The sequence below is a fragment of the Homo sapiens genome, chromosome 3, assembly GCF_000001405.40.
Source record: "Homo sapiens chromosome 3, GRCh38.p14 Primary Assembly".
Classification (NCBI taxonomy): domain Eukaryota; kingdom Metazoa; phylum Chordata; class Mammalia; order Primates; family Hominidae; genus Homo; species Homo sapiens.
The window spans coordinates 44,582,459-44,601,536 of NC_000003.12; the positions used below are offsets into that span (position 1 = coordinate 44,582,459).

The window sequence follows — 19,078 nt, forward strand, 5'->3', positions numbered from 1 at the left end:
ACCTGACCAACTAGACGTTGATTTCATTTACCCAAATGAGTTAGAATTTCTTTGGCAGATAGATGTCATAATAAAGATTGAAATTGCTGAGTATTTAGGCAATTATGACACACAAAAAAACACCCTGATTTCTGAGCAGTGACATTATACTTGACTGAATGAATAGATTTTTGTAGGAAAAAGTATGCTTGTGGATAAGGGCAATAGAAGCTGGATACAGGCAGGCTGGAATCTATTTTTAACATATATTCTAGTGACCCTTACGTTCTCTAAAATTTGAGAATTACTGGACTAGAATATTAAGGAGTAATCATTCCTCCCTGGGACCAGATGTAGGGTTAGCAGCTTGAATCAGAATGAATGGCCCCACCCACCCAAATGAAAGAGTAGGTGAAAGGGAAGACTAAGTAAGTTAAAGATCACAGCTCCCTTAATGTACATGAATATTCGTGTGTGTGTGTGTGTGTGTGTGTGTGTGTGTGTGTGTGACTGAGTTTCACTCTTGTCTTCCAGGCTGGAGTACAATGGCGTGATCTTGGCTCACTTCAATCTCCAGCTCCCGAGTTCAAGCGATTCTCCTGCCTCAGACTCCTGAGTAGCTGGGATTACAGGCGCCTGCCACCATGCCCAGCTAATTTTTGTAATATTTAGTAGAGACGGGGTTTCACCATGTTGGCCAGGCTGGTTTCGAACTCCTGACCTCAGGTGATCCACCCGCCTCAGCCTCCCAAAGTGGTGGGATTACAGGCGTGAGCCACCACACCCAGCCTATTCTTTTTAAGTTTCTTGATGTAGTGGCAGTAGTCTTGTGCTCTTCAGGAGAGTGTCCCGAGTTCTACGTCCCACATCAACTGAGGGTGTGAACTTGTGGAGGACTTTTGTCTGAATCTCTTTTTCAATCTCTATACAATGTGGCGGAGTTGTGCCACCTACATGAGCCAATGGAGAAGAAAGCTCCTGGTATACTTTAAGTACTCAACAATATTAAATACTGAATATTTGTCAATTGACGAAGTACTTCAAAAGCTTGATTCTCAGACTCCTTCTTAGATAAATCATTCCCTAGATTGTCTCATCCTGTCCTGACAACTTCCAAATTTATGTCTTTAGCTGTGATCTCTTCACGGAAGTCCAGACTCCTATTCCAACTGCCTGTTTGGCATTTCATCTTGGATGTTTAATTGGCATCTTTAACACATCCAAAACAAAACTATTAATCCCTCTCCCTAAACCTGTTCCTTTCAAGCTACTCGATTTCTAAAAGACCATCCCATGCTAGTTGCTCAGATCAATAACCATGGAGTCATCAGTAACCAACATTCAATTCATTAGCAAATCATGCAGGCCATGCCTTCAAAATATATGCAGAACCATTTCTCACTACCTGCATCACTTCTAAGCCTGTCCAAGCCACTATCAGTCCTCATCTGGAATATTGTAATGGCCTCTTAATCTCCCTGATTCTACTCTTACCCACCTTCAGACCGTTCTCAACAAGACAGCCAAAGCAAACTAAAAATATAAGTCAAAGAGCAAAATTCATGCAAGGTTTATGTTAGAATGGCTAAGGACAGACAGCAAAGAATTCACAGAATTTATAGTAACAGGCTTCTTGGCTTCTTTCATGTCTCATAGCTAACAAGTCTTTGAATATGTGGTAAGGGAAAAAAAGTTAGATCATGTCGTTCCTCTGTCCCCAAGCCCTCCAGCTGTTATGCAGAGCAAATCCAAAGCCCTTATCATAGTCTACAAGATCCTAAATGTGCACCTCTCCACCCCACTCCTGATTAAAGAATTTTGCTCCTAATGGCCCACTATGGGAATACTCTTTCCCCAGATAGCCACATGCTTCAATTGCCCACTTCCTGTCTCTGCCCTCCCTGTCATCTGTAAAATAGTCCCACCACTATCTCCCTCTCTCCCCTTACTCCCTCTCTCCCCTTACTGCTACGTTCTACATATTTATTTATCATTGTCTCCTTGACTTGAATGTAAACTCAATGGGGCAGAGAGTTCATTTTCTTCACTACTGTATCCGCAGCGCCTGGAACAGTGAGTGACATAGTAGGCACCCAAAACGTCTTTTCATATGCTGCCAATAAACCATAGCTGATCCTGGCTTTGAGGCTGAATGACCCAGATCTGTGGAAGGAAAGATGACCTCTCTGCTCAGCAACCGGAGCTGGGGGTGTAACTTTAGGGAGTCTCAGCCTGAGGCTGGCAGCCTGGCCACCCAGATGCTCGGTCTCTTTCCGCCCTAACCAAGCCCCCTGCCCAGCTTCCACCACTTCCAGGGCCCTCCTCACATTGGCTGAAGTCGCCAAGCCCTTCCATCCAATGATAGGGCAAAGCCCGGAAGGGAGGCAGGGCCAGAGCGTCGGCCGACCGCGCGGGGCTTCTGAGGGGCGGGGGGACTCCAGCCCGCGGGCACAGAGATGTGGAAACCTCACGAAGCCTAGAAGGGCCGGAGGGACAGGCTGGGAGTTAGCTGGGAGTTGCTGACGCAGTTCCTTCTGCGCTTTGTTCAAGATGTGGGTCTGGCGCTTTCGGTGAGGGGTGCTCTACAGTCTGGCGTGGGGGGTCGGGCCGGGTTCTGGGAGCGTGTGGGAGACGCAAGCCAGGAGGCCAGGGCTCCTCTGCGGCTGCCCGCTGCTGAGATGGGCGCGGCAGCCAAGGGGTCGTTGTGGGCCTCCCCTTTCTCTCGTTCAGTGCTGCCCCTTTGTCTTGGGTCCAGTCTCTGACTCCTCGTAGCTGCTCGCTTGGACCAGGCTGGCCGTGGTGACAGCACTGTGTCGTCCCCGCTCCTAGGCAGTGGGCCTTCCGGGTAGTAGCGGTCGAGTCCCGCCTAGGCTCTCAGGACTCCACAGCCCCTGAGTATTTGACTCAAATCACCAGTCCAATATCCCTCCCGTTACCAGTGAGGAACCTGGGGCCCAGAGAAGAGGACGGAGTCTTGCCCAAGGTTACTCATTCATTCATTGATTCATTCAACAAATATTTATTGAGCACTAACCCAGTAGTGTGCTAGGTCCTGGGGTTATGGTTGTGTACAGGACAGAACTAAATTCTAGTAGGGGAGAAATGAAACAAACTTCAAGGGTTAGAAGCAGAGCCTGGGGATCTGGAGGGGGAAACACAAAACATATTTGAGGCTTAGTAATCCTAAGAAATGGGTAAACAGAAAAAAGGAACATTCTTTTTCTAGTGCTCTTTTAAAGACTTGTTTCTTTCTGTCTTCCTAAAGACACTTGACTCAGCAAAGTTCTCCCTCTCATCCCCCTTGTGCAGACTTTCTGTGGAAAGCTGGATTGCAAGGAAGTTCTCCACTGCATTGTATTTTGCAGTTAGATGAGAATATGGAAGCTTTTAGATATCAATGGAGCAGGTGAAAAGGGGAGGCTGTGGTGTGATGGAATTAGGATTTCCTGAAGACACAGAAGGCTTTTTAATCACTCACTAGCTATAGGACCTTGGGCAAGTCGTTCAATCCCTGGGAGCTTCATTCCCTCATCTTTACACTGGAAATGATCCTTCTTACTGCCCACAGTTCTATAGGAAGGGAAGTTACCCAAAGATGGGACACTGCCCTGAGTGTCCACTTGGAATTCAGGGCTCAGAGAACTCAGTCATTTATATCTGTTTACAGTGACTCAAGACCCTCTTAGGAACTTCTTCACTGAACTCAAGGAGGAGATCAGGCAAGATCTGTGCTGTGCAGATCCTTTGGATTGAGGCTGCTGTGCACAGGAATATGGGTGAGTCATTCCATTCTCTCCTGGGCAGGTGAGGCCTAGATTGTGAAGTTAGTCTGGGCACAGGAATCCTGCTTGTGGGCACCAGGGTTGAAAGGGAGCTTCTCTCAGTGGTATTTATCAAACAGGAGAAAAGCACTGAAGTGGGCAGGGGGCCTCTGGACCTTGAGGAGTAGAGTTTTGTTTCAGATGGGAATAAGGGTGATGTAGTAGAACTCAAAATTGGGTGTCATGGGACTTGGATTTGAGTCCCAGCTTTCCTCTAAGTTCCAAGTTTTCCTTCTGTACATTTGGATATAAGACTGGATAGACTGGGAGGTTCCTTCCAGCTCTGACATACTGAGAGTCTCTGAATAGTGGGACCAGGTCAATCTCTTAGGGAATTTAGTCCCTGGGATGACTCTGTTGAGACAGAATTGCCAAGAATGCAAATACACCATTATGGTGTTTCCCAGATAATATGAAGCACAAAAAGGACAAACATGTAGAGGAGGGATGGTAGTAGTGATGTGTGGATTTGGCTCTCAGCATCCCTATGTGCACTCCAGGTGTTAGAATCTTAAACTTGTTTAATTTACCATTTCAAATCAAACAATGCTGACTGAGCCCTCTCTGTGTCAGACACCATGTGGTATCTACAGGCAAATCTCATGGGAACTGCTCTCTGAGGGCATAGAGCTTAATGTATATATTTGAGGATGGACACAGACATACACACAAGCAATTCCAGTATAAGGCAAACTCTATTTTATAGATTTGTTATGGCATTTTTTGGAATACAGAAATTTTTATGTGTCAGATATATCAGCTTTTTCACATGGTGTTAGCCTTTCCCTTGAGGCTTAGGCCTTTCTTCTAATTCTTTTTTTTTCTTGCAATGTTTACATTTCACTTATCCATCCCTTGAATTTATTTTCAGGTATTTCCTCTTATTCCTTACTCCACTGCACCTAATCAATAACCAAGAACCATGTAACCATTGCTTAGAGGGACTTGAACAGGCAGATGATGCTGGTGAATTAAAGGAAGACAGCCTCCAAGTAAAGCCTCTCTCTCTCTCTCTCAATAGGATTCTACCCTTTATGTATTTTTCACAGCCTGAAATGGATGGTGGTCCTAGGATTAGAACACTTACCTACCAGTCTCAGAGATTTGTGGGTTAGAGATCTGCAGGGCCTTATCAGTCCTCATACATTCACTGGCTGTCTGAGATTTTGCTTTTCTGTACAGTTGCCTAGATACCCCTAGTGTCCTACTGGCCTGTGGCCTCATGTTTCCCTCCAAACTTCTCCAGCCAAGACCCTACTTCCTTAGTACCTAGGAATTCTTCCAGGATTTCTGAGGGCATTTCCTATCCAATCAGACAGAAGGGAGCAAATAGGTTTCTTTTTGATCAAACTCTCCTCATTTGGCCCTCTTTGATCTCCTGTCTGGTCCTGCTTCCTCCTCAGCTCCTCCATCACCACCCTGGGCTTTCTTACAGTGCATCGCTGTGCATTTCTCTTTCTCCCTACCTGCCCCTTTGTGTTAGGCTATTCTTGTGTTGCTGTAAAGAAATACCAGCCGGGCGCGGTGGCTTACGCCTGCAATCCCAGCACTTTGGGAGGCTGAGGTGGGCGGATCACCTGAGGTTGGGAGTTTGAGACCAGCCTGACCAACATGGAGAAACCCCATCTCTACTAAAAATACAAAAAATTAGCTGGGCGTGGTGGCACATGCCTGTAATCCCAGCTACTCGGGAGGCTGAGGCAGAGGAATCACTTGAACCTGGGAGGCAGAGGTTGTAGTGAGCTGAGATCACGCCATTGCACTCTAGCCTAGGCAACAAGAGCGAAACTTCGTCTCAGAAAAAAAGAAAGAAAGAAAGAAAGAAATACCTGTGACTGGGTTAATTGTAAAGAAAAGAGTTTAAATTGACTCACTGTTCTGCAGGCTGTACAGGAAGCACGGTGCCAGCATCTGTTCAGTTTCTGGGGAGGCCTCAGGAAGCTTTTACTCATGGTGGAAAGTGAAGTAGGAGGAGGCAGAGCATGGTGAGAGTAGGAGCAAGAGCAAGGCAGAGGGATACCACACACTTTTAAACAACATGATCTCACGAGAACTCACTATCACAAGGACAGAACCAAGAGGATGACGATAAGCCATTCATGAGAAATCTACCCCCACGATCCAGTCACCTCCCAACAGGCCCACCTCCAACATAGAAGATTACATTTCAATGTGAGATTTGGAAGGAACATCTAAATGATATCACTTTTCTAACCCAAATCCCTTTCTCAGTAAGCTTATCTGTTTTTTTATTTTTTTAATGTATTTATTTATTTTGAGACAAGTTCTCACTGTCTCCCAGGCTGGAGTGTGGCGGCATGATCATAGCTCACTGCAGCCTCGACCTCCCTCAGCCTCCCAAGTAGCTGGGACCACAGGCATATGCCACCACACCTGGCTCACTTTTTAAAATATTTTTACCCAGGCTGATCAAACACCTGGGCTCAGGCAGTCCTCCCACCTCACCCTACCAAAGTGCTGGGATTATAGGAGTGAGCCACCGTGCCCGACCCTCAGTAAGTTTATACATTTTCATGACTCCCTCTGTCCTCTCTGTCTTATCATTCTCAAATTTGCCTTCGTGATATATTCCTCTTCACCTTGTCTAAAATGTTTCTGTGTGTCCCCATCTTGCTTAGTGACACTACCATTCTTGGTATTCAGACATGGATCTGATGACCTTGGATTGTTTCCTTCAGTCCATCCTCTGTATTCAAAGGAATATGGATGTGTGCGTTATACATCTGGATGCGTTCCTGAAAATAGCTAGACTTCATTGTTCTCTGTTCTCTCATCTTGGATTAGGGTCTTGCTATCTTATTCATTTGTTCATTCATTCAACAAACGTTTATTGGGTACCTACAACGTGCCAGACCCTCCAGTGTTCACCTGTACCGCATGACTAGTGTTGTCTCCTAATTCATTTCCCTTCCTCTTTTCTTTTTAACCCCCTCTAATCCATCTGGGCTAATCTTCCTAAAGAGTTCTTATCCTAATTTCACTTTTGGGTAGGATAATGCAAAATTTATTGTCCAAACGGGGATACTGTTGTGAGTTAAGGGAGCCATTATTAAATATGATGCTGGGATAGTAGGCTTAAACTAGCACTATTCTGGGAAAACCAGGATATATGATTGCCCTACTTGACATCTCTTGGATTCTTTACTTTCTGTTTCCCTCAATTTACTCCCCATGTGTTATCCCAGCTGCCTCTCTCCTCTGTTTTCCATTTCATTAAGCTGAGAGAAACGTGAATGTTCTGGGAGGTGGTAGTGGAGGAACTATGGGAACTAGGGGAAGTGCATGGTAATGCTTGAAAAACTGTATTGTTAAGTGAGAAAAAGAAGGAAAATAACAAGAGTGGAGAATAGCAAGGTACAAAAAAGAATATAGAATGGAGAAAGAAAATTAAGGATAGATTTCACTCTTCTGTTTAGAACTGGTTTCCCTTTGACCATCAGTTTATATCCATATTTTTCATCTTGTAATTTCAGTATTCTGGTTGGAATCACTTCAGGCAGCTTGATTCTTTCTTCATTTGTTAATTCCAACAACAAAAAATGTTGAGCGCTTACCATGTGCCTGGGACTGTGGTAGTGCTAGGAATACAGGGTAAGCAGGACGGACAAAATCCCTGCCTACATGAAGTTTATATAATATTATGATCTCCCATTTATTTTCATGTATACCAACCCTGTGCCTTTTTTTTTTTTTTTTTTTTTTTGAGAAAACACTGCTTATTCTCCAGGGCTCAGCCTAAATTCTGCCTTTTTAAAATGCTTTTCTCCATCATTCCATGCCTTAGTAATTGCTCCCTCCCTCCCCTAGTCCTCTTCATCTCCTGCTTGCATACATTGTAAATTTGAATTTGCTCTCTTATTGTTTTTCCATACTACTCCATTGTAAGCTCTTTAAGGGAAGTATGATATTTCATGCTTGTATTAGTGTGCTTGGGTTACCATAACAAAATGCCATAAACTGAGTGGCTTAAACAACAGAAACTTATTTTCTCACAGTTCTGCAGCCTAGAAGTGTGAGATCCATGTGCCTCGCCATTTTGGTTTCTGGTAGGGGGCTCTCATCCTGTCTTGTAGCTGGCCATCTTCTTACTATGTATTCTCATAGCCTTTATGTGTATGTGTGTGGAGAGAGGGAGAGCATGTAAGAGAACTTTCTTGTGTTTCTTTTTATAAGGACATGAATTCTGTTGGATCAGGGCCCACCCTTATGACCTCATTTAACCTTAATTATCTCCTTAGAGGCCCCATCTCCAAATACAGTCACATTGGGGGTTAGAGCTTTAACATACAAATGTTAGGGGGACACAAACATTCAGTCCATGACAATGCTTCTTTAAATTTTCCCTGTGTTAGACCCAGAACAGGGATATATACAGAGTAGGGTGCTCATTAGTTATGAGTTTAAGAAATGTATGAAGAAAAGAGAAGTTCCAGAGAAGATGAGAAATTGAAAAGAAATTCAGAAAAAACTATCAACTTTCTCACAGAACTTTGAAGGTGAGTTCACTTGCTCTACTGCTCTGCATTGCAGTCCCCTGGCTTTGCACTGTTTTCTCCACCTGCTTCATCCTTAATGATTAGGAGAGGTAGCAGCAGCTGGATGTGAGTGAGCCCAGGACCCTGGCAAGAATCCACCCTCCCTCACCATTCTCTCTTCCTACCCTTCTTATCTTGGGCATGAGTTTGTGTGTATGTGCCTGTGTATGGAATCAGTGGCCACCCGCATTTCTGAGATGTGAACTCGAATATGTGCAGTTATCTTTTTGCCAGTCTCGAGTGCCACCATTTGCTATCTTCCTTCTCCAGAAAGTGTGGCTCCATTTATCAGAAAGCTGTGGGACATGGAAATTGGTCAAACTTTTTTTTTTGAGACAAAGTCTTGCTCTGTTGCCCAGGCTGAAGTGCAGTGGCATAATCAGGGCTCACTGCAGCCTGGACCTCCTGGGCTCAAGCAATCCTCTCACCTCAGCCTCCTGAGTAATTGGGACTACAGGTGCACACCACCATGCCTAGCTAATTTTTAAATTCTTTGTAGAGATGTAGTCTCCCTGTCTTACCCTGGCTGGTCTCAAACTTTTGGGCCCAAGTGATCCTCCCGCCTCAGCCTTGCAAAGTGCTGAGATTATAGACATGTGCCACCATGCTCAGCCCATCAAACTTTTTTGAATAGCAACAAGCAATACTGCACAACAGTTGCACTCCTTCTGACCCAATTAACTCATTTGTGGAACTTTTGTCCTAGGAATATATTTTAATAGGAAGAAAATTTTGTGTGTATAAAGAGATTATGATAGCATTATTGATAGTAGTTAACTTCAAGGAACAACAGAAATGTCCAACACTAGCAAAATGGTAGGTAAATTAGAAGGAATTCAATGATCATATGAAGATTAAATAGCAATGTGGAAAAATGTGCATTAAAAAATTAAGTGGAGGCTGGGCGCAGTGGTTCACGCCTGTAATCCCAGCACTTTGGGAGGCCGAGGCAGGTGGATCACCTGAGGTCAGGAGTTCAAGGCCAGCCTGGCCAACATGGCGAAATACCATTTCTACTTAAAAAATACAAAAACTAGCCAGGCGTGGTGGCAGACGCCTGTAATCCCAGCTACTCAGGAGGGTGAGGCAGGGAGAATTGCTTGAATCCAGGAGGCGGAGGTTGTAGTGAGTGGAGATTGAACCACTGCACTCTAGCCTGGGCAACAGAGCGAGCCTCCGTCTCAAAAAACAAAAAAAAATTTGTGAGGCAGGGATTAGGGAGATGTTGGTCAAAGGATACAAAAATTCTGTTAGGAGGAATAATTTCAGGAAATCTATTGTATTACATGGTAATTATAGTTAATATCAACATATTTAGACTTGAAAAGTGCTAAGAGAGATTTTAAATGTTCTTACCATGAAAAAATAATAAGTATGTGAAGTAATGGATATGTTAATTAGCTTGATTTACCTGTTCCATGTGTAAACATTTATAAAAACATGTTGTATGCCATAAATATATATACTTTTTTATCAACTAAAAAATAAATGAAATGAACTGCAAGAAGTAGGATGCAAAATAATATCTACCATATTTAATTGTCTAACAAAATACATATGGGCAAGTCTATAAAGGAGCATAGTCATGTGTTAGTATCATGTAGTTATCTTTTTGCTTTCTTTTACATCCCAACTCCCTCTAAGGTCTGCCATGGTTACCTGTATGTCCAGAGTTTCACGTCAAACCAGTTGGGAAATTCCTCCTTATTCTGATGTTTGGTTTCATGTATTGGCACCTCTTGGTTATGCTGCCCCTACTCTGACGCTTTTGCCATCCTTAGATACTTTACTATTATGCCATGCAAGATCCTATCAGAGTTTCATCTGCCATGCTTTAACTAACCTTCTTTCCCAATTTAGCCTCTCAGACTCACCCCTTAAGTAGTCTCAGTCTGTCAGAGTGACAGCATGGTGAAAAGCAGACAGACTACACTTGCATATAAAACTGGATCCAACTGGCTGGGCGCGGTGGCTAACGCCTGTAATCCTAGCACTTTGGGAGGCCGAGGCAGGTGGATCACGAGGTCAGGAGATCGAGACCATCCTGGCTAACACAGTGAAACCTCGTCTCTACTAAAAATACAAAAAATTAGCCAGGCGTGGTGGCGGGCGCCTGTAGCCCCAGCCACTCGGGAGGCTGAAGCAGGAGAACGGCGTGAACCTGGGAGGCGGAGCTTGCAGTGAGCCGAGATCGTGCCACTGCACTCCAGCCTGGGCGACAGAGTGAGACTCCGTCTCAGAAAAAAAAAAAAAACTGGGTCCAACTATAGGCCAGCCCCTATGAAGTAGGCTATGATGTGACTAGGCTCAATATTGAAAGAACTGTGTCACCACTTAACAAGATAGGGTTTACCTGCAAGGATGTAGACTGGGGTCTAGTACCTGGACCTTGAGCAAAAGATGAAATCCTACTCACAACCTAAGACAGAATCCTAGTTGCTATTCTATAATACCATTTTGAGCACCTTTTACATACTGGCCACAGTATCACTAGTACTAGGGGAATAGGTTAGCAAGAACTAAAAGCCAAACTGAACTAAAGTTTAGTCATCTTTCAGTTCACTTTTTCTAGGACCAGATTATAGTTGAGCCTGCCATTAGGAGTTAGATGGCTCTGAGCTGGGTGCGGTGGCTCATGCCTATAATCCCAGCACTTTGGGAGGCTGAGGCAGGTGGATCACCTGAGGTCAGGAGTTCAAGACCAGCCTGGCCAACATAGTGAAACCCCATCTCTGCTAAAAATACAAAAAATTAGCTGGGCGTGGTGGCAGGCGCCTGTAATCCCAGTTACTAGGGAGGCTGAGGCAGGAGAATCGCTTGAACCTGGGAAGCGGAGGTTGCAGTGAGTCAAGATCGTGCCATTGCACTCCATCTCAAAAAAAAAAAAAAAAAAAGCAACGAGTTAGATGGCTCCAATTCAGGGAGTAGAGGATGAGGCAGGAAGGAACTAGGGTAGATTTTATACGATTCATTGCTTATTCTGATGCTGGACCTGCTGGGCTCCCCTTAGCCCCTGGCTTTCCATAAGCCTTTACATTGGCCTCTATGTTTAACTTCATTTTTGTCATCTTTTTGATCTGTTCCCCTGCCCTTGAACACTTAACCCTTCCATATGGCTACCACATCTTGTCCGTGGATAGATCTCCTTCCTCTGGTACAGAGAATAGGTGACATGTGCAATTTCTGTTTCTCCTGTCAGATGGTGAAACTGGGACTGAGGAGGAGTTAATTCCAAAGCATCATTCCTGAAAAATCAGAATCATACATACTTTCAAGAGAATTCCACAGAGACATTGCCCAGGAAGTCAAAATTTAGAAGGCTCCTCTGAAGGGAAAGAGAAGACTAGAGAGGACACTGGTATGTTCCAAGCAGGAGAAAATGAGGAGAAAGACAAGAAATTTCAAACATAAGACAGTTAAAGACAATAAAGTACTCACAGAAGGGAGTGACCAAGAATCTGAAAAAGACAATAGTCAGTGCTGTGACCCTGCAACAAATGAGAGAGTTCAGGCTGAAAAGAGACAGTATGTATGTACTGAGTGTGGGAAAGCCTTTAGTCAGAGTGCAAACCTCACAGTACATGAGCGAATCCACACGGGAGAGAAACCCTATAAGTGTAAGGAGTGTGGAAAAGCTTTCAGTCATAGCTCTAACCTTGTTGTTCATCGGAGAATCCACACTGGACTGAAGCCCTATACATGCAGTGAATGTGGGAAATCTTTCAGTGGAAAGTCACATCTTATTCGGCACCAGGGAATCCACAGTGGGGAGAAAACTTATGAATGTAAAGAGTGTGGGAAAGCCTTTAGTCGGAGTTCGGGCCTTATATCACATCACAGAGTTCACACCGGAGAGAAGCCCTATTCTTGTATTGAGTGTGGGAAAGCCTTTAGCCGTAGTTCAAACCTTACTCAACATCAGCGAATGCACAGAGGAAAAAAAGTTTACAAATGTAAGGAGTGTGGGAAAACATGTGGTTCTAATACAAAGATTATGGACCATCAGAGAATTCACACTGGAGAGAAGCCTTATGAATGTGATGAGTGTGGAAAAACTTTCATCTTAAGGAAAACTCTTAATGAACACCAGAGACTTCATCGTAGAGAGAAACCTTACAAATGTAATGAGTGTGGGAAGGCTTTTACTTCTAATCGAAACCTTGTTGATCATCAGAGAGTTCACACTGGAGAGAAACCCTATAAATGTAATGAATGTGGGAAAACCTTCAGGCAGACTTCTCAAGTTATTCTACACTTGAGAACCCACACTAAGGAGAAACCCTATAAATGTAGTGAGTGTGGGAAAGCCTATCGGTATAGTTCACAGCTTATTCAACACCAGAGGAAACATAATGAGGAGAAAGAAACCTCATAAATAACAAATATTGTGGGTAGTAGGGCTGACTGCTGCTTTTCTAAAAAGTAGTTCTTTAGTATCAACTTTAATTCTACTTCTAAGAATCATACTCTACTTCTAAGAAAATAATTAGAAGTAGACAAAGATTAATGAAAGGGATGTTCATGACAGCATCATATACGACTGAAAGAAGAAAACTAGATTTTCAACATTACAGGGTTGAAATGAATGATGAGCTATCCATATGATGGTTCTGCAGCCATTGCAAACATTTTTAAAGACAATTTAATGCCATGGGGAAATGATTGGATAAGACGGAAGATAATGACATACAATCCAAAATTTAAAAAAATATTTTTGCATAGGAAAAATTGAGAAGGAAGTAAACCAAAATGTTAACAGTGATCATCTCTGGGCGATAGGATTATAGGTGATTTCTATTTTCTTCTGTATACTTTTCTATGCTTTCTAGATTATCTACATGAGAATATACTAATTTTATATGCAAGAAAAAAAGCACAGTATTTTTTAAATGCAATGAAGACGTGCTTATTTTCACTCAGCAGTGTTATGAAAGGCACGTAGTATATAGAGCCCAAAGCCCTGGGATTGCACCCTGACACTGGCATTTAGCAGCAGTGGAACCGCGAGCAAGTCCCTTCCTTTTAGAGCGTGTTTCCTGTTAAGTAAAATCATAAACACCGATCCTTTGTCCTTTTTAGTTTTAAGACAAGCTGACTTTAGAGTTGTCAACAAAATATATAATAACACTGTTAGGTTAAAAGAACACAGCAAAAATTCACTGAACCCTCCTTTCCCACAGTTCTGGAAGGATCTGCAGATGATGGAGAACTACCTAGGCTTCATCTTTTCAACATATGTCTACACAACCAGAAAAAAATGAAATTGAAACAACTGTAGACTCAAAAACTTCAGATACAGTCACCAGTTAATATAAAACTAGTGGGAGACTCTGCCTTCACATGGTATATAGAGTTTAAAGGCTAAAAGTACAAACTTTGGGGTTGGAGATATCCATGTTCTAACCCCAGTTCTACCATGAACTAGCTTGTCAGTTTTGGACAAGTCACTTAACTGCTCTGAGCCTCAGACCTGTGTGTAAAAAAGGAACAATTACCTACCTTACAAGGTTGTTGTGAGGATTAAGTGAGTAATGCATGAAATATATGATAAGCCAGACACGTGGTAAATGATAAAATCTTAAGTATAGGACATTGTAGCAGTGTTTCTAAACACTTTAGGGAGAGTGATTAAAGAGAATTTTTGTGTAAGGTAGTACTTAGGATATTTTCAGATGTATTGAACAGAATACCAAGTACTAGCAGCCTAGACCTTAAGAACATTGATTGATTGCTTAAGGGGAATCTAGAGGTAAGCAGTGCTATGTTTGGTTTGGCAACTCAGCACTTCATCACACTTCTCTCTTAACTCCATAATTTTCAGCATGTTGACTTTCATTTTTCATAACCTCATGGTGGCAAGACAGTGGCCACAGCTGCATCTTGCCTTCACACAACTCCTTCAGATTGGGAACTGGAAAAGGAGCTGAGGCTTTCTCATCTGGTTTCTTCCTTTTGTCACTGAGAAAAATCTTTCCCTGAAGAAGGGACGGAGAGGTGTTGAGCAATCAATACAACAGATGTTTTCTATCTTCCTCTGCCTTTCTTTATGACCAGTCCTCCTTGAAGGTCTTAGCCCATCTTCCACCAATATTTAAAACATTTTAAGTGCTTAGCTCAAAGTCACTCTGAAACACTTAGAATCTCCCTATTTTTAACTCAGCCATTCCTCTGTGTATACAGTGAATCCCTAAGCCCACTGTTATCTGTCTTATGCACATAGTGAATTAGTGTTTGGGGAATTTTTGATAATATGTTATTTAGTTCTCCCTCTATTATACAAGAAAATTGAGTGTCATTGAGGTTAGGTGACTGGCTAGTAAGTTGTCGGAGCCAGGATTTGAGCTCAGATCTGACTTTGAAATTCATGCTTTCTTCATTATACCAAAGTGCCTCTGCCCACCATGGTGGTTCTGTATGTGAGTGGAAGACCAGTTGGCGTTTTCCCAGGTAGCTGCCTCTATGAAAGGTGATTGTATCTAACAATTATTTGATATTTGACCATGGTTTTATAGGGAAGATGTTATCAGTGTTCTGTGAATGGGGTTTATGGCCTATCTCTGTACCTCATAATTTAGTTTTAAGGTATATATATTTCTTTCTTGCTGTTACCGGAAAGAAAGAAGTGAAGGGTGAAGGTTGTATATTTGTGTGAAAAAAAATTACTGATTTTGTCCTATTTTGATAGGATAGTGGTTTGCACATAATTTGTGATATAATAGTCCTTTGCATGGTCATTCCAAGCAGGGTTTGGAAGGCCTGGAACAGATTTGTAGCATTCATGGACAAGCCTGGTCTATCATTCCTGAGCAGAATTGTTGATGCTTTATATATTGCTGAGCAGATATTCTCTGACCAAAACATTTTTTCACCACCATGTCATAGTGCCTAAAACTCTTTATTTAGATAGGCTTTCTTTTTTGTCTTAGAAGACTATGATCTTCAAGAGTATATCTCAAGGAAGGATATGATGCCATCTCATAACCAGAGAACTGAATATAGGAGAGCTTCATATTTCTTGCCCCAGGCAGGCGAGGATTATAGTCTCTTGAGGAGGCCATCACCCATCTTCTAGGCTAATACCTGCCTTGAGCTGTAGGAATAAACACTTGACAGTGGGTTCCTGCATCCTTTCAGATAAACATTCAGCTATAATTTGAACTGATCACCCACCTTTCTCCGGGAGTCTCCCAGGGTTACCAACTTTTACCTCAGTCAGAGTTTAGGCATGCAGCTCTTACCATCCTTTCAAGCCCTTTCATAATACCCTCTGGAAACCAGGAACTGTCTCTTTTAATGTGCTTTCTTTTTCTTTCTTTTCTTTTCTTTTCTTTTTTTTTTTTTTTTGAGATGGAATCTCGCACTGTCGCCCATGCTGGAGTGCAGTGGCGTGATCTCAGCTCTCAGCTCACCGCAACCTCCAGCTCCCAGGTTCAAGCAATTCTCCTGCCTCAGCCTCCTGAGTAGCTGAGATTACAGGCACCTGCCACCACACCCAGCTAATTTTTGTATTTTTAATAGAGATAGGGTTTCACCATGTTGGCCAGGCTGATCTCGAACTCCTGACCTCACAAGATCCACCTGCCTCGGCCTCCCAAAGTGCTGGGATTATAGGCATGAGCCACTGCACCTGGCTTTATTTATATGTGTATTTATTTATTTATTTATTTATGAGATGGAGTGTTGCTCTTGTCGCCCAGGCTGGAGTGCAATGGCGTGATATCGGCTCACTGCAACCTCTGCCTCCTGGGTTCAAGCGATTCTCCTGTCTCAGCCTCCCAAGTAGCTGGGATTACAGGTACCTGCCACCACACCTGGCTAATTTTTTGTATTTTTAGTAGAGACGAGGTTTTGCCATGTTGGTCAGGCTGGTCTTGAATGAATGTGTTTTCTTCACATTCTTGTTCCAATGGAAACCGGGCTGTTCCCCAAGGGCAGTGCTTATTCTGCATTCCTCAATTGCTGGTTTATGTGTCTCTCAACTCATGTACCTCTCTGTACTGCCATTTCTTCTCTCTTCTCCATCAGAAACTTAGCTCTAATCAGTCATGGTTGCATACACACGTAGTCCTAGGTACTCAGGAGGCTGAGGGGGGAGGATCACTTGAGCCCAGGAGTTCACTGTTACAGTGAGCTATGATCACAATTCTGCACTGCAGCCTAGGTCACGGAGCAAGACCCTGTCTCAGAAACAAAACAGTACAAAACAAAAAACCCACAAAAACCCAACCCAGTGCTTTTGAAATATATATCACTAAACTACTGTGTATTGCTCATTCTTGTTATTTGGTTTCTTGTCTACTCACATTTATTCACTTACAGTTTTAGTACCCTGAATATTCCTGAGGAATATAAAGAGGCAATAATTTTAGCCACAGACATCCTGGTTATATAGAATTGCTCCTGTGTAGAATAAAAATATATATGCTCTTTTTAGTTGAGAGGAAAATACGAAAATCTCATTTTATATAGCCTTGAGTAGAGGGCAATACGTAAGACAAAGAATTCTGCTTAGAGAGGAAAGTGTCGCCCTGGACTTAGAAATCTTTTTTCATAGATGGTGCGTCCTGTGTTAGGTATTACTTGGAAGAAAATTGAAGTAAAAAACAGCTTTAAGTAACTGAGTAATTAGGATTAATTAGTAGCTGTTGAATCTAAATCCCTTAAGACTAAATTTCATTGCAGCTCTGTACCCTCAGCAGGACTTCCTTTCTTGATTGTTTTTTCCATTTAATATAAAATTTAAAAGATGCCCATATTGTCAGTTGTTTTTAGTCGCCAGACTGTCTTTAATAGCCTCTGATGTTATAAAACTGGAGTCATGAAATTGTTTTGCAGGAAGTAGTGATAATTCCTTCAATAAACGTCTGCTATTCTTATAAATATCACTTTTTTTTTCTTTTTGCTTACTTTCTTTGTTCAGAGTGGGAAAAAAATAGTTCAATCTGCTTTTCTTTAAGTAGCTATATTAGGGTTCTTTCTCCAGAGGGATGGAATGAATAGGATGTATGTATATATAAAAGAGATTTTACTAGGGAGAATTGGCTTAAGGCAAAGTCCCGCCATAGGCCATCTGCAAGCTGGCAAAAGAGAAGCTGGTAGTGTGGCTCAGTCCAAGTCTGAAAGCCTCAAAACCAAGGAAACTAAAGTGCAGCCTCAGTCTGAGGCCAGAGGCCCTAGAACCTCCAGGAGGCTGCTGGTGCAAGTCCCAGAGTCCAAAGACTGAAGAACTTAGAATGTCTAAGGGCAGGAAGAGAGGAAGCAAAGCACCTGGCATGGAAAGAGACAGGAGACCCAGCAAGCTTCTTATCCCCCTTCTTGCGGCTGCTTTCTTCTAGCTGTGCTGGCAGCTGATTAGATATGCCTACTGACATTGAGGGTGGGTCTTCCTCTCCCAGTCCACTGACTCAAATGTCATTCTCTTCTGTCATCACCCTCACAGACACTCACAGAAACAGTGCTTCCCCAGCCATCTAGGCATCTCTGAATCCAGTCAAGTTGACACCTAATATTAACCATCATAGTGGCTGTTTTTAGAATAAAGAAGTGATTCTGGCTGGTTTCTCATTCAAACACTACAAGAAGTTTGTAATTTTCACACTAGTAATACATAAGTAAGCACTCTCTAGCCATTAGAAATTTTCCTTCTGTTATTTCTTGAGAGGGCTATGTGCCATACCCTCTCTCTGGCCACACACGTGCTTCATACCCCTACTGCTGTGCAGACCTCAGATGGCTGTATAAAAACCAGCCATGTTCTCTGAAGTCCCTCTCTGCTCCAGAAGGTAGGTTTGAGAGGGTTAAAAAGAGATGGCAGACTCCTTTCTGTGCAGCATAGTTACAGGACCTGACTAGTTCCCATTCCTCTCTCTGATTATTTCAAATCCAGACGGCACAACTTGACTATATGGATTACAGACATACAAAAGCTGTGACCAATCTCTGAAACCAAGGCTAGTGGATTCCAAGTTTGGGATTCACAAGAGGTAATTTTACACCTACAGATAAATTTCCCAGGCCCACCAAATCAGCATATCTACAGTGGGGCCTTGGAATAAAACAAAACTTTGCAATGGGGATCAGATAAAATTTTCCTTTAGGAACCTTGAGGTTTTTTTCTTTTTTCCTTTTTCTTTTTTTTTGTAGAGAAGGAATCTCACTATGTTGGCTTGCCCAGGCTGATCTTGAGCTCCTGGCCTCAAGCAATCCTCCCACCTTGGTCTCCCAAAGTACTGAGATTACAGGTGTGAGCCACTGTGTCCAGCCCAGGAGCCTTGACTCTTTACATGACTGTTGACTGTTTTTATACTGATTATCCATTTTCCTTTGGAAGAACAGAAGACTCTTCCCACAGAAGATTTGTGACAAATTACAAAATTATTGAGACTTATACCAAAGCTTGTACAATCATATGACAAATCAGCAGTTAACTGAGTCAGAAAGAAAATGCTGTCACATTCGCAGTTAGTTTAACCACAGAATTTAGCATGTTTTTAAAAAGTAGAATAGGCCAGACGCGGTGGCTCACGCCTGTAATCCCAGCACTTTGGGAGGCCAACGCAGGCAGATCACTTGAGGTCAGGAGTTTGAGACCAGCCTGGCTAACATGGTGAAACCCCGTTTACTAAAAAAATACAAAAATTAGCCAGGCATGGTGGCGCACGCCTGTAATCCCGGCTACTTAGGAGCCTGAGGCAGGAGAATCGCTTGAACCCGAGAGGCAGA

General features: G+C 42.8%; 3 protein-coding genes and 1 long non-coding RNA gene across 11 annotated transcripts in view; 3 read left to right on the plus strand and 1 right to left on the minus strand.

Annotated features, from left to right (window-relative positions):
• Positions 1 to 1,025, plus strand: part of ZKSCAN7 (zinc finger with KRAB and SCAN domains 7) — a 28,291-nt gene extending 27,266 nt beyond the window's left edge. For all 3 annotated transcript variants that reach the window (NM_025169.3, NM_001288591.2, NM_001288592.2), the window contains exon 6: positions 514 to 1,025. In NM_025169.3, coding sequence (NP_079445.1) covers positions 514 to 533 — 20 coding nt within the window. In that variant the 3' untranslated portion in view covers positions 534 to 1,025. The remainder of the gene's footprint in view (positions 1 to 513) is intronic.
• ZKSCAN7-AS1 (ZKSCAN7 ZNF cluster antisense RNA 1) overlaps positions 1 to 19,078 on the minus strand; it is a 128,297-nt gene that overhangs the window by 25,102 nt on the left and 84,117 nt on the right. The gene's annotated exons all lie outside the window — the stretch shown is intronic.
• ZNF660 (zinc finger protein 660) lies at positions 2,506 to 17,236 on the plus strand. Its single transcript, NM_173658.4, has 3 exons — positions 2,506 to 2,549; positions 3,647 to 3,755; positions 11,556 to 17,236. Exon 3 carries the CDS (start codon positions 11,736 to 11,738, stop codon positions 12,729 to 12,731), a length of 996 nt encoding a protein of 331 aa, NP_775929.2. The 5' UTR covers positions 2,506 to 2,549; positions 3,647 to 3,755; positions 11,556 to 11,735; the 3' UTR covers positions 12,732 to 17,236.
• Positions 2,506 to 19,078, plus strand: part of ZNF660-ZNF197 (ZNF660-ZNF197 readthrough) — a 63,508-nt gene continuing 46,935 nt past the window's right edge. For all 6 annotated transcript variants that reach the window (NR_147692.2, NR_147691.2, NM_001351733.2 and 3 more), the window contains exons 1-2: positions 2,506 to 2,549; positions 3,647 to 3,755. The gene's annotated coding sequence lies outside the window, so the exon portion shown is untranslated. The remainder of the gene's footprint in view (positions 2,550 to 3,646; positions 3,756 to 19,078) is intronic.

What these genes read in the sequence shown, in the direction of transcription:
- ZNF660 (NM_173658.4), top strand. Translation starts at nt 11,736, where the DNA reads ATGAGGAGAAAGACAAGAAATTTCAAACATAAGACAGTTAAAGACAAT.